Source organism: Homo sapiens, chromosome 1, assembly GCF_000001405.40.
Source record: "Homo sapiens chromosome 1, GRCh38.p14 Primary Assembly".
NCBI lineage: Eukaryota > Metazoa > Chordata > Mammalia > Primates > Hominidae > Homo > Homo sapiens.
Window position 1 is genome coordinate 247,437,773 of NC_000001.11, and position 11,180 is coordinate 247,448,952.

General features: G+C 44.7%; 1 protein-coding gene and 1 long non-coding RNA gene across 21 annotated transcripts in view, besides 2 other annotated features; one reads left to right on the top strand and one right to left on the bottom strand.

Moving 5' to 3' along the window:
* The window catches only part of NLRP3 (NLR family pyrin domain containing 3), a 32,741-nt gene extending 21,696 nt beyond the window's left edge, over nucleotides 1–11,045 (top strand). For all 20 annotated transcript variants that reach the window (XM_047443535.1, XM_024452862.2, XM_024452874.2 and 17 more), the window contains 3 exons: nucleotides 6,200–6,370; nucleotides 6,879–7,049; nucleotides 10,633–11,045. In XM_047443535.1, coding sequence (XP_047299491.1) covers nucleotides 6,200–6,370; nucleotides 6,879–7,049; nucleotides 10,633–10,732 — 442 coding nt within the window. In that variant the 3' untranslated portion in view covers nucleotides 10,733–11,045. The remainder of the gene's footprint in view (nucleotides 1–6,199; nucleotides 6,371–6,878; nucleotides 7,050–10,632) is intronic.
* On the bottom strand, nucleotides 1,509–10,455 carry LOC124904575 (uncharacterized). Its single transcript, XR_007067005.1, has 2 exons — nucleotides 10,312–10,455; nucleotides 1,509–1,761 (listed from the first exon to the last, which is right to left on the bottom strand). It is a non-coding gene; the product is annotated as an uncharacterized LOC124904575 (long non-coding RNA).
* Nucleotides 2,445–2,764: an enhancer, noted in NCBI's record as "active region_2870". NCBI's record gives its function as "activates an Ori minimal core promoter by ATAC-STARR-seq in GM12878 lymphoblastoid cells {active_cell/tissue: GM12878}" and the evidence as "EXISTENCE:reporter gene assay evidence [ECO:0000049][PMID:35858748]".
* Nucleotides 2,775–2,844: an enhancer, noted in NCBI's record as "active region_2871". NCBI's record gives its function as "activates an Ori minimal core promoter by ATAC-STARR-seq in GM12878 lymphoblastoid cells {active_cell/tissue: GM12878}" and the evidence as "EXISTENCE:reporter gene assay evidence [ECO:0000049][PMID:35858748]".

Genomic DNA, 11,180 nt, shown 5'->3' on the forward strand with positions numbered 1-11,180 from the left:
TGGAGTGACGGCGAGGGGTGCTTCTCTGCTCACGTTTGGCGAGTGCCTCTCCGAGCGGGTGACATTGGAGCAGGTGCTCAGTGAAGCGTGGGATGGGCTGTGAAGGAGCCGGAAGAGCCCTCCAGGCAAAGCAGATGGAACCGAAGAGGCCCAGGCGTAGGCACTCAGGTGACTCTCAGTGATCCTGGTTCCAAATTCCACATGACAAACAAGCCAATTACAAATGTGCCTGATGCATCTGTAATATGCTCTATGTAGTTACTATTGTCAATACCTAACCTGGTAGAGCTGCTGTAATAAAGTATCACAAACAGAGCGGCCTAAACAACAAGAGTTTATTGCCTCTCAGTTCAGGAGGCCAAAGTCTGAGACTGAGGCATCAGCAGGCTGGGTCCTTATAGGTCGTACAGGTCCTTCCCAGTCCTTACTTTAGTTGACATCTGCTGCCTTTAATTCATTTCACTCTTCCTCTTTGGAAGCCTTCTTCGCTCTTATTTTTAGGTCACTACTTAGTCTTTCCTGCTAATGTTATAGCTTCCCCCTCCCTGGATCCTGCATTGGCTTCTCTTCCTGTGGTCTGGGGATTTCACGACTGGTTTAGTTGTGTTTTTTTTTTTTTTTTTTTTTTTGAGTTGGAGTCTTACTCTGTCACCCAGGCTAAAATGCAGTGGCGCAATCTTGGCTCACTGCAACCTCTGCCTCCCGGGTTCCAACAATTCTTCTGCCTCAGCCTTCTGAGTAGCAGGGACTACAGGTGTGCACTGCCATGCCTGGCTAATTTTTGTATTTTTAGTAGATACGGGGTTTCACCATGTTTGCCAGGCTGGTCTCGAATTTCTGACCTCAGGTGATCTGCCTGCCTTGGCCTCCCAAAGTGTTGGGATTACAGGCGTGAGCCACACACCCGCCTGGTTTACCTTTTTTGTTGTTGTTGTTACTAAATATTTCTAAACTCCCTGAGAATTCTCATATACCTCTCAATTTCAACAACAGTAGGTCTCAAACCCAGATATCATTCACAAACTTTTTATTAGAAAAGTAACACATGCTTGGTGTAAACATATCATAGTACAGACAAAGTGGAAAGTGAAAGCTCCTTCTCAGCCCTCTTCTGAGAGAGCCATTTACAATAGTCTGATGAACAACCATCCAGACTTTTTTTAATACAATAGATTGTTATATAATCCATTCATCTGTCCATCCATCCATCCATCCATCATCCATCCCTCTATTTTCCATCCGTCAATCCATCCATCCATCCATCCATCCATCCATCCATCCATCCATCAATCCATCCAAGGGAGTATCAGAGCTTTGTGAACATATATTGGTTGCTAATTATGGACAAATGGATTTCCTGTATATGCTGATCTGGGTGGTATTTATATCAGTAATGTGAATGAAGACCTATGTGATTTTCATGTTGCATTTGTAATACATTGTTATGTAGTATTTTAAATGCCTAGTCTGTTAGAGCTACTGTAATAAAGTATCACAAACAGAGCAGCTTAAACAACAGAAATTTATTGTCCCTCAGTTCTGGAGGCCAGAAGTGTGAGATTAAGATGCTAGCAGGCTGGGTCCTTCTGAGGGCTGTGGGGAATCTGTTCATGCTTCTCTTTGGCTTCTGGTGGAATGTCATCTTGCTGACACATTTTGCCATTCCTTGACCTGTAGATGCCTCTGCCACACCATTGCCTTTATCTCTACGTGGTGTCTTCCCTGTGTCTGTGTGTGTCTTTCTCCATGTCCCAAGTTTCCCTGTGAAAGAACACAAGTCATGTTAGATTTGTAACGACCTGATCTTAACTAATTACATTTTCAGTAACCGTATCACCAAATAAGGTCACAATCTGAAGTACTGGGGCCTAGGACTTCCACATATAAAGTCTTAGAGGAAACAATTCAATCCATAACACCCTATCTATTGAAACTAGAACCATAATATAAATATTTTTCTGTGATATCCTTTTTTCATTTATCATGGATAAATTTCCATGCTGATTTGTGTAGATCTATCGATTGGGGCATAATATCCCATAGTGTGCTTTACCATAATTTATTTAATCAAATCATGCATTTTGGGATAACTGTTCTTTTCCACTATTACAAACAACTCTGCAAAAAGCACATTTGTATATATAGTTTTATGCATGTGTATTTGCTTTGAGATAGGTATCTATAAGTGGCATTAATCAGTCGAGACTTTTATGCATTTTATGTGTTAGGTACAGCCATACATGTGGCTGTGTGTTAGGTATAGCCTATGGGTTAGGCATAGCCTGTGTGTTAGGTATAGCCTATGGGTTAGGTATAGCCTACGTGTTAGGTATAGCCTATGTGTTAGGTATAGCCTATGTGTTAGGTATAGCTACATTTTTTTCTCTCGAACTTTGGGTCCTCATCTCTGGCTGCATATTGTGTACTGCCTGTCTCAATACTGCTCAAGGGTCACACATGCTGAGCATTTGCAACATTGGTTTAATTATCATACCCCACCTTCCACCCCCGTTCTCTGACCTGCTCCTGCCCTCTTCCTCCTGCCTCATTGAATAGTGGGGCTTTCCAGGAGGCTGCTGAGTGAGTAAACGGGGGACGGTCCTAAATGCTCTGCTTTCGGTTCCCTCTACCACTCATCACTACACCAGAGGGAACTTTTTAAGATGCAAATTTGAAAATATTGACCCTTTGTTCAAAAATCTTCAAAAGTTCTTCTCTGCAGTCAGAGTGACATCTTAGCTTGGCACACAAGGCTGTCCCTGATACTGCCCTCTCTCCTGCCATACCTTGCACTCCATTTTGAGTCATATTGGATGAGTTTTGTTTTGCTGTTTTAGAGATGGGGACTTGCTATGATGCTCAGGCTGAATTTGAATTCCTGGGTTCATCTACAGCCATACCACCCAGAGTGCCTGATCTCATCTGCACTCCTGGGCTCAAGCAATCCTCCCGTCTCAGCCGCCCAAGTAGCTGGGACTATAGGTGGACATCACTGTGCCCAGCTATGAATTAGTTTTGAAACATCTTGGTGGTTCTTTTAATCTTCCTTATTCTTGCTACTCTTTTCCTTTTGCCTGGAAGGTTACCCCCACTTTCCCACTTTCTACTATCCATCTAAGAAGCTCCTACTTATTTTTTAATTACTGTGATCCTCATTTTGTCCATTTAAAAGCAGGGATAAAACTAACATTCCCATCTTGAGGTTGTGATCATTCAATGAGATAACCCTGTTTAAAGTCGTCATCCATGTCAAGCACACAATAAATACTCAAAAAATGTTTGATCTTCTTCTTCAGATTCCTTCCTTCCTTCCTTCCTTCTTCCTCCTCCTCCTTTCTTTCTCTCTTTTTCTTTTTCTCTTTCTTTCTTTCTTTCTCTCTCTCTCTCTTTCTTTCTTTCTCTTTCTCCCTTCCCTTCCCCTCCCCCCCCCCTTTCCCTTTCCCCTTTCCTTTCCTTATTTTCCTTTCTTTTCTTTTCTTTTTTTAAGACAGGGTTTTGCTCTGTGGCTCAGACTGGAGTGCAGTGGTAGGATCATAGCTCACTGTAGCCTTGAACTCTCCTGGGCTCAAGCAATCTTCCTGCCTCAGCCTTCTGACTAGCTAGGACTACAGGTGTGTACTACCATGCCTGGGTAATGTTTAAAATGTTTAAAATTTTTTATGTAGAGACAGGGTCTTGCTATGTTGCCCAGGCTGGTCTCAAACTCCTGGCCTCAAGTGGTCCTCCCACCTTGGCCTCCCAAAGCACTGGGATTCAGTTTTCATTATGAGACAGTTTTGTGACATAGGCAGGTAGTTAATAAATAAAAATCCCCAACCAATTAACTTAATACAGTACATGGCAAGATATCCGTGCTTGGTAAATGTAGAGCTCAGTTAGGTGGATTGGTTGAAATCGAGATGTCAATCACATTCCTCTAATCCAAGGATTGGTTGGTGGGACATGGTTGTTTGATTCTTTAAACATTTTATTATGTGTTCAGTGTAACCGTTGCTTAATAGTTACCAGCATTTTCACAATTTGGATATGACGTTTTCTTAACAAAACTGCACCGTCTGTTGCAATTTCTACTACTACTGTGTAGTGCTCCCCAAACATCTGTTGAATAATCCATTCTACTCCTTTTTGGAAATAGTGGTAAAGCCTGCATAACTTTAATTACATAATTTAAAAAATATTTTCTCTTTTCCTCTTTGAAGACCATCCCCATTCTACTAGAATGTCCCTGGCCTTTGCCAGGAATGCTACTAATCCCTTCTGCATGTTAATTAACAACAACCCTCTGATAGAATTCTTACCGGGGATGAGAGCTTAGTAGAAGCCACTCAAAACTTGCTTTGTTTTTGTCTGTCTCTCTTGGGCTTCATTTGCCTATTAGTCTTACTTACTGTGTCTTTTCAGTTTGACTCTTCCTTAATTGGGAAGATAGAAACCAGTGGATGGATAATCACTTTTTCCTGCTGGTCATCTGTTCATGCTTTACTGTCTGAATACACTTTTTCTGTATTTCTATTTTTCCTGCCTCGTAGACACCAAAGAGCTTAAAAAACATGCCATTGCCAAGGACTCTGGCAGGAAGGAGGCAATCACCTGCGCTATTCCTGGCTTCATGGAATAGAAGCATCTGTGCTCCTAGGAATTACGCCACCAGTGATTTTAGAGCTCTTATGCTCTTCCTGGGTGATAGAATGGGCTTAATTTGACTCAAGAATAGTACATCAAAACTCTTAATTCCATCGAGATTGATGCATTTTTGGGGTTTTATGCTCTAAAAGGCCTTTTGCTGTGCAGAAGGAAGAGAGAGGTGGACAGAAAGGGCAGTGGGGAGAAGATGAGACTAAAAGGTGGAAAGTCCAGGTCTGGATCCCTCCCCACCACACACCTGCTCTGTGGCCTTGAGAGAAACATGTAATTTTTATAAGCCTTAGATTTCTAATATGTAAAATGTATGTAATAGTTTTAGCTGCACTCCTTCCTTGCCAGGTTGATATAATAATCAAATAAGACTGGTCTCTGGGTCAGGCACAGTGGCTCATGCCTGTAATCCCAGCACTTTGGGAGGCCAAGGTGGGTGGATTGTCTGAGCCCAGGAGTTTAAGACTGCAGTGAGCTGTGCACTTGGCCTGGGTGACTGAGCAAGAGCCTGGCTTTTTCTATTTATTTATTTATTTTTGAGACAGAGTCTCACTTTGTTGCCCAGGTTGAAGTGCAGTGGCAATCTCGGCTCACTGCAACCTCTGCCTCCCAGGTTCAAGCAATTCTCCTGCCTCAGCCTCCCAAGTAGCTGGGATTACAGGTGCCCACCACCACCCTAACTAATTTTTATATTTTTAGTAGAGATGGGCTTTCACCATGTTGGCCAGGCTGGTTTTGAACTCCTGACCTCGTGATCCACCCTCCCAAAGTGCTGGACCTCCCAAAGTGCTGGGATTACAGGCATAAGCCACTGCACCTGGCCTTATTTATTTATTTATTTAGGCAGGGTCTCACTCTGTCACCCAGGCTAGAGTGTGGCAGCGCAATCATGGCTCACTGCAGCCTCGACTTCCTGGACTCAAGCGATCCTCCCACCTCTCCAACGTGGTTGAGGGCTGCAGCGAGAAAGATGTGAAAGGGGCATTTGGGGGCGCAGGAAGGCGGGAGGTGGCAATTGCTAAGGGCCCCGCCGTGTTCCTGTCACAGCCCTAGCTACAGCTTAGAAGGTCACAATGGACGTTCACCTGTTGTCTTTGATGTTTAAATCAGCACCGACTTCCCATGAGGAGGATTTTTTTTTCCTGTCTCTCTTAAAAAAAAAAAAAAAGGCCCCTGCAGTGTGGGTGTCTGCAGTGTTACGGGGATTATTAGTTGAGGATAACCACTGGGATGTGTTTCTGGAAGAAGTGGTGCTGAGGAGCACTCCTGGCCGGAGGAAAGCTGTGTGAGGAGGAGGAGGAGTATGGGGTAACTGGCTCAGTTTGCCTTGGCTCTTTCTGTCGGACTCATACAGCAAAGCATCTGCTGAGACATCATTTGTGTCTCCTGTGACAGCCAGAGACAGCAGGTCTTGCTCTCCCCAGATCATATCTGAGATGCTGGCTCCTGCTCTCTGAGCTGAAGGCTGCAGCTGCTGAGAGAGGACGAGGCACTGAGTCAAAGCAGCTGCACAATGTTGGGGAACAGCTGGGTACTGAGGACTCTTCTCCCTGTCCTTCTACAGGTTGGTGAATTCTGGCCTTACGTCAGTCTGTTGTTCAGCTTTGTCCTCGGTACTCAGCACTAATCAGAATCTCACGCACCTTTACCTGCGAGGCAACACTCTCGGAGACAAGGGGATCAAACTACTCTGTGAGGGACTCTTGCACCCCGACTGCAAGCTTCAGGTGTTGGAGTAAGTCCTTTGGTTTATTACAGCAATGAGAACACATGGTGGCCAAGGGTGGAGGGACGTTTAGGCAGAGTGGCCACAAGATAATCTGTATCTTAGAAGTGAGGTGTCTTCTTAGTGTTTGCCTTGTTACAGGATCATGGGACTGGGAGGAGTCCTTCCAGATGATATAGATGTAGGAACTTGAGTCCTTACCATCACAGTTTTCTGTACCACAAAACAAGGAGGGCAGTATGACACTTACATTTTATGGAAATGTAGGGAAAGGCACAGAATTTGGTAAATCAATGAACAAACCACTGTTACTAATTTGATCTGTGCAATGCAGTGGATTTGAAAAAGAGAGAGAAGAATAATTACCAGCATACAAGGCTGCTTGAAGCTAGTTAGTCCTGTGCTCCTGTGCTTTTTTTTTTTCCACCTGAAACAAGACAGGCTAAGATGCTAAAATCTTGGGGAGCTAGGGGGATGGTTAAGGGGACATTTTCTTTAAATCACCCCCTTTTTGCAGATTAGACAACTGCAACCTCACGTCACACTGCTGCTGGGATCTTTCCACACTTCTGACCTCCAGCCAGAGCCTGCGAAAGCTGAGCCTGGGCAACAATGACCTGGGCGACCTGGGGGTCATGATGTTCTGTGAAGTGCTGAAACAGCAGAGCTGCCTCCTGCAGAACCTGGGGTGAGTGTGCTCTGCAGAGATGCCCGTGGTGGGACTCTGAGTTCTCAGGAAACGTTGACTGTTATCAAAATCCAGGATGGCTCTCGCTTCATTTGCAGCCACTCAAGATTAGGTTGGGCCTGGGTCAGTTGTGGTGGATATTTTAAAATAGAGAATATGGGGTTAAACTACACATTCCACTTCACTGAGATGGTTAGAATCACCAAGGCTAAGCTGGATTTCACCCACATTCCCCAAAGAAACACAAGCCCTCATGCGATCATGGCCAAGGAGGATTCTGTTCTACACAAGGAACCGAACTTCGTAGAACTCGTCTATGGGTCATCCAAATTGGAAGGGTCTTTACATAGTGGGGATCTTGTTGTTTTGTTTCTGAGGATTTATTTTTTTTTTCCTTGAGACAGAGTCTTGCTCTGTCGCCCAGGCTGGAGTGCAGTGGCATGATCTCGGCTCACTGCAAGCTCCGCCTCCCGGGTTCACGCCATTCTCCTGCCTCGGCCTCCCAAGTAGCTGGGACCACAGGCGCCTGCCACCACACCCGGCTAATTTTTTGTATTTTTAGTAGAGTTGGGGTTTCACTGTGTTAGCCAGGATGGTCTCCATCTCCTGACCTCGTGATCTGCCTGCCTCGGCCTCCCCAAGTGCTGGGATTACAGGTGTGAGCCTCCGTGCCTGGCGGTTTCTGAGGATTTCTAAATGGGAAAAGAGTGCTCCAGGAATAGCAAGATGGGAAATTACACGAAATTCGACAGTGTGTCAGGATATTGCCAGCCCACCTCTGTGATACTACTGAGGTAGTCGTCTCCTCTCTAGCAAGAGCTTCCTGGCGAGTCCCACGGTTCTGTCAGCCGTGATGATTGCACTTTTCCCTGAAGACGTTTTCACTGCTTGGCTTTAAGGCCAACATGCTCTCCTGGGTTTTCTCCTATTTCATCAGATCCTTCTACTCAGTCTCCTTTCTGGCCTCTTCTTCATCATCCTGACCCTTATGTGTTGAATCCTCAGAGCTTAGTCGCTGGGCTAATTTTTCTTCCCTACACTTTCTCCCTCATTTAAATTATCTGGTCTTCTGGCTTCATGATATGTGTGCTGTGGCCTCCAGATTATATGTCCATAAATTCTGTGTCTCCGTGCTTGGCTGATCTTTCTTCTTGAAGGTTTAATAAACCTCTCAAACGTCACATCTAGATCCACACCCTTGCTACTCTCTTCTACCCGAAACCTGATTCTTCCCCATTTCAGTCGATGGTCACTTCCTCCAAGTTGCTCGGGCCAAAACATTTCTGGTTCTGTCGTCACTGTCTCTTTTTCCTTATAATCATGTCCAATGTGTCAGCACATCCTGTGAGCTCTGCCTTCCCAGCTTGGCCACTCCCTGACCACTTCAGGCCAGCTTCACGGCTTCTTCCTTGGCTCAAGCCACCATCACCTGGTGTCTGGATTGTCATGGTGGCATTCTGACAGGTCACCCTGCATCTGTTATTCTGATTTTAGCAGACAAGGGATTCAGCTAAAACGTAACTCGCATCATATCACTCTTGTCAACATCGTCTTCTTATCACTTTCATAATCAGAGCAACAAACTCATGGTGGCTTCCATGCCCCACATAATCCAGCCTCTCCTGCTTCCGAAGATTCCGCTTCTCCCAACCCTTGCTTATTCTGCCCCAGTACAGTGATCTCCTTGCTGTTTTGCAAGAACACTGTCATCTCTGGATTTTTGCACTTGCTTTTCTTCTGGCCTAGAACTCTCTCCCCTTCAGTATCCACCTGCATTATTCCCTGTACCTTCCTAAATTCTCTGCTTAAAGGTCTTCTCTGCGAGGCTGTCTTTGACTATTCTACTGAAAATAGAAGCACTTTTTCTTCTCTTCTCATTCTCCTCTGCAGTGTAGCACATCTTATGTGCTATGTCATTTTCTTGTTTATTTATTATCTATCTCTGCTCCCAAAATATAAATTCCATTAGTCCAGGGACTTCTGTCCATATTAATGATCTCAAGGCTGAGAACTTGTTGGAATGCAGGTTTGAATAAATACAAGTTTGAATCAGCCTTGCATCCTTGTGCCAACATAATGGAGCACATTTGCTGCAGGACAAGCCAATATTCCCAGAGCTAAGAGAGATGGGGGAACAAACAAAGGATTGGTCAGGTCAAAGCTGGGGACACTGCTACATGTAGCATCACTGACCTAGCCCTGAGGGACATTCTGGACCCAGGCTGAGGGACAGGCTCAAAATAGATTGAAGAATCCATGAATGCAATCAACCCGTTTTCTCAGGCTGCGATAACAAGCTGCTTTAGACTGTGTGACTCAAACACAGATTTATTATCTCACAATACTGGAGGCTAGAAAGTCCAAAATCAAGTCTCTGATGAATTTGGTTGCTGGCGAGAGTCCTCTTCCTGATTTGCAGATGGCTACCTTCTTGTTATGTGATTGCATGGAGGGAGGGGAGGCAAGGGAGAGAAGACAGGGGAGAAAGAACAAACTCTCTGATATCTCTCCTGTAAGGGCACTCACCCCATACTGAGGGCCCCACCCTCACAACTTCATCTAACTCTAACTACTTCCCAAGGGCCTCACCTTTAAGTACCGTACATTAGGGGTTCGGGCTTCATCATGGGAATTGTTAAGGAAGACAAACATTCAGTATATAACACCACCAAATTGAGATGGTTATAAATGGTGCAGGACAAATGGGTGGATTTATTAGTTAAGTTGCAAGGGAAACTTTATTAAAGAGGAGGAAGAACTTACATCGAAGATGTGAGAGGCATCCTGGGCAAATGCAATGTGTAGAATTGATCAGGTTAGTGACTAAATGAACATAAGGTAAAAAAATTTACAAGACAGTTGAGGAAGCGTAAATGCTGACTGGACATACAGTGATACTAAGAAATTATTGTTAAACGATTTTGGTGTGATAGTGACATTGTAATTATATTTTAGTGTCACAAAGTGAATTATTGATAGATGCATTAAATGCAGTATTTAAAATAATCCATGGGTGGGAGGAGTGGGTGGGCAATAGAAGAAACAAGTTGACATGACCTGTTTAATTGTCGAACTTGGGTAATGGACACAGGGGGTTCATTATACTATTTTCTATACTTTTATGTATGCTTAACATTTTCCCAACTAGATAGTTAAAAATATAACAGGAACCACATTGGGCACTTAGAGCTTTTTTTTTTTTTTCCCCACATTTTTATTGGGAGCCGTGGGAGGGGCCTCCTCTGTCATTGGAGGTGCTCACAGTTTCTTCAGCCACTCCAGGCTGGGGTCCTGGGGGTCTGAGGCTCCCAGTGACGAAGGACACGACGAGCACCGGCTCCTTGGCCCAGGCATTCTTGAAGAAGGTGCGGAGTCTCGCGGCCATCTTGGTCTCGGCGGCGGCGACGGCGGCGAGGACGCGGAGCACTCTGGGAGTTGTGGTCCCTCTTTTTTTTTTTTTTTTTTTTTTACATTTTAGAAGTGTGTGGAGTTTAGGGAAATGAAGAGATGAGACTTTTAAGGTTAACGACTCTGACAGAGTTATCTGAAGAGTGCAACCCAGGCTTTCTATTTGCTTTTACAGGTTGTCTGAAATGTATTTCAATTATGAGACAAAAAGTGCGTTAGAAACACTTCAAGAAGAAAAGCCTGAGCTGACCGTCGTCTTTGAGCCTTCTTGGTAGGAGTGGAAACGGGGCTGCCAGACGCCAGTGTTCTCCGGTCCCTCCAGCTGGGGGCCCTCAGGTGGAGAGAGCTGCGATCCATCCAGGCCAAGACCACAGCTCTGTGATCCTTCCGGTGGAGTGTCGGAGAAGAGAGCTTGCCGACGATGCCTTCCTGTGCAGAGCTTGGGCATCTCCTTTACGCCAGGGTGAGGAAGACACCAGGACAATGACAGCATCGGGTGTTGTTGTCATCACAGCGCCTCAGTTAGAGGATGTTCCTCTTGGTGACCTCATGTAATTAGCTCATTCAATAAAGCACTTTCTTTATTTTTCTCTTCTCTGTCTAACTTTCTTTTTCCTATCTTTTTTCTTCTTTGTTCTGTTTACTTTTGCTCATATCATCATTCCCGCTATCTTTCTATTAACTGACCATAACACAGAACTAGTTGACTATATATTATGTTGA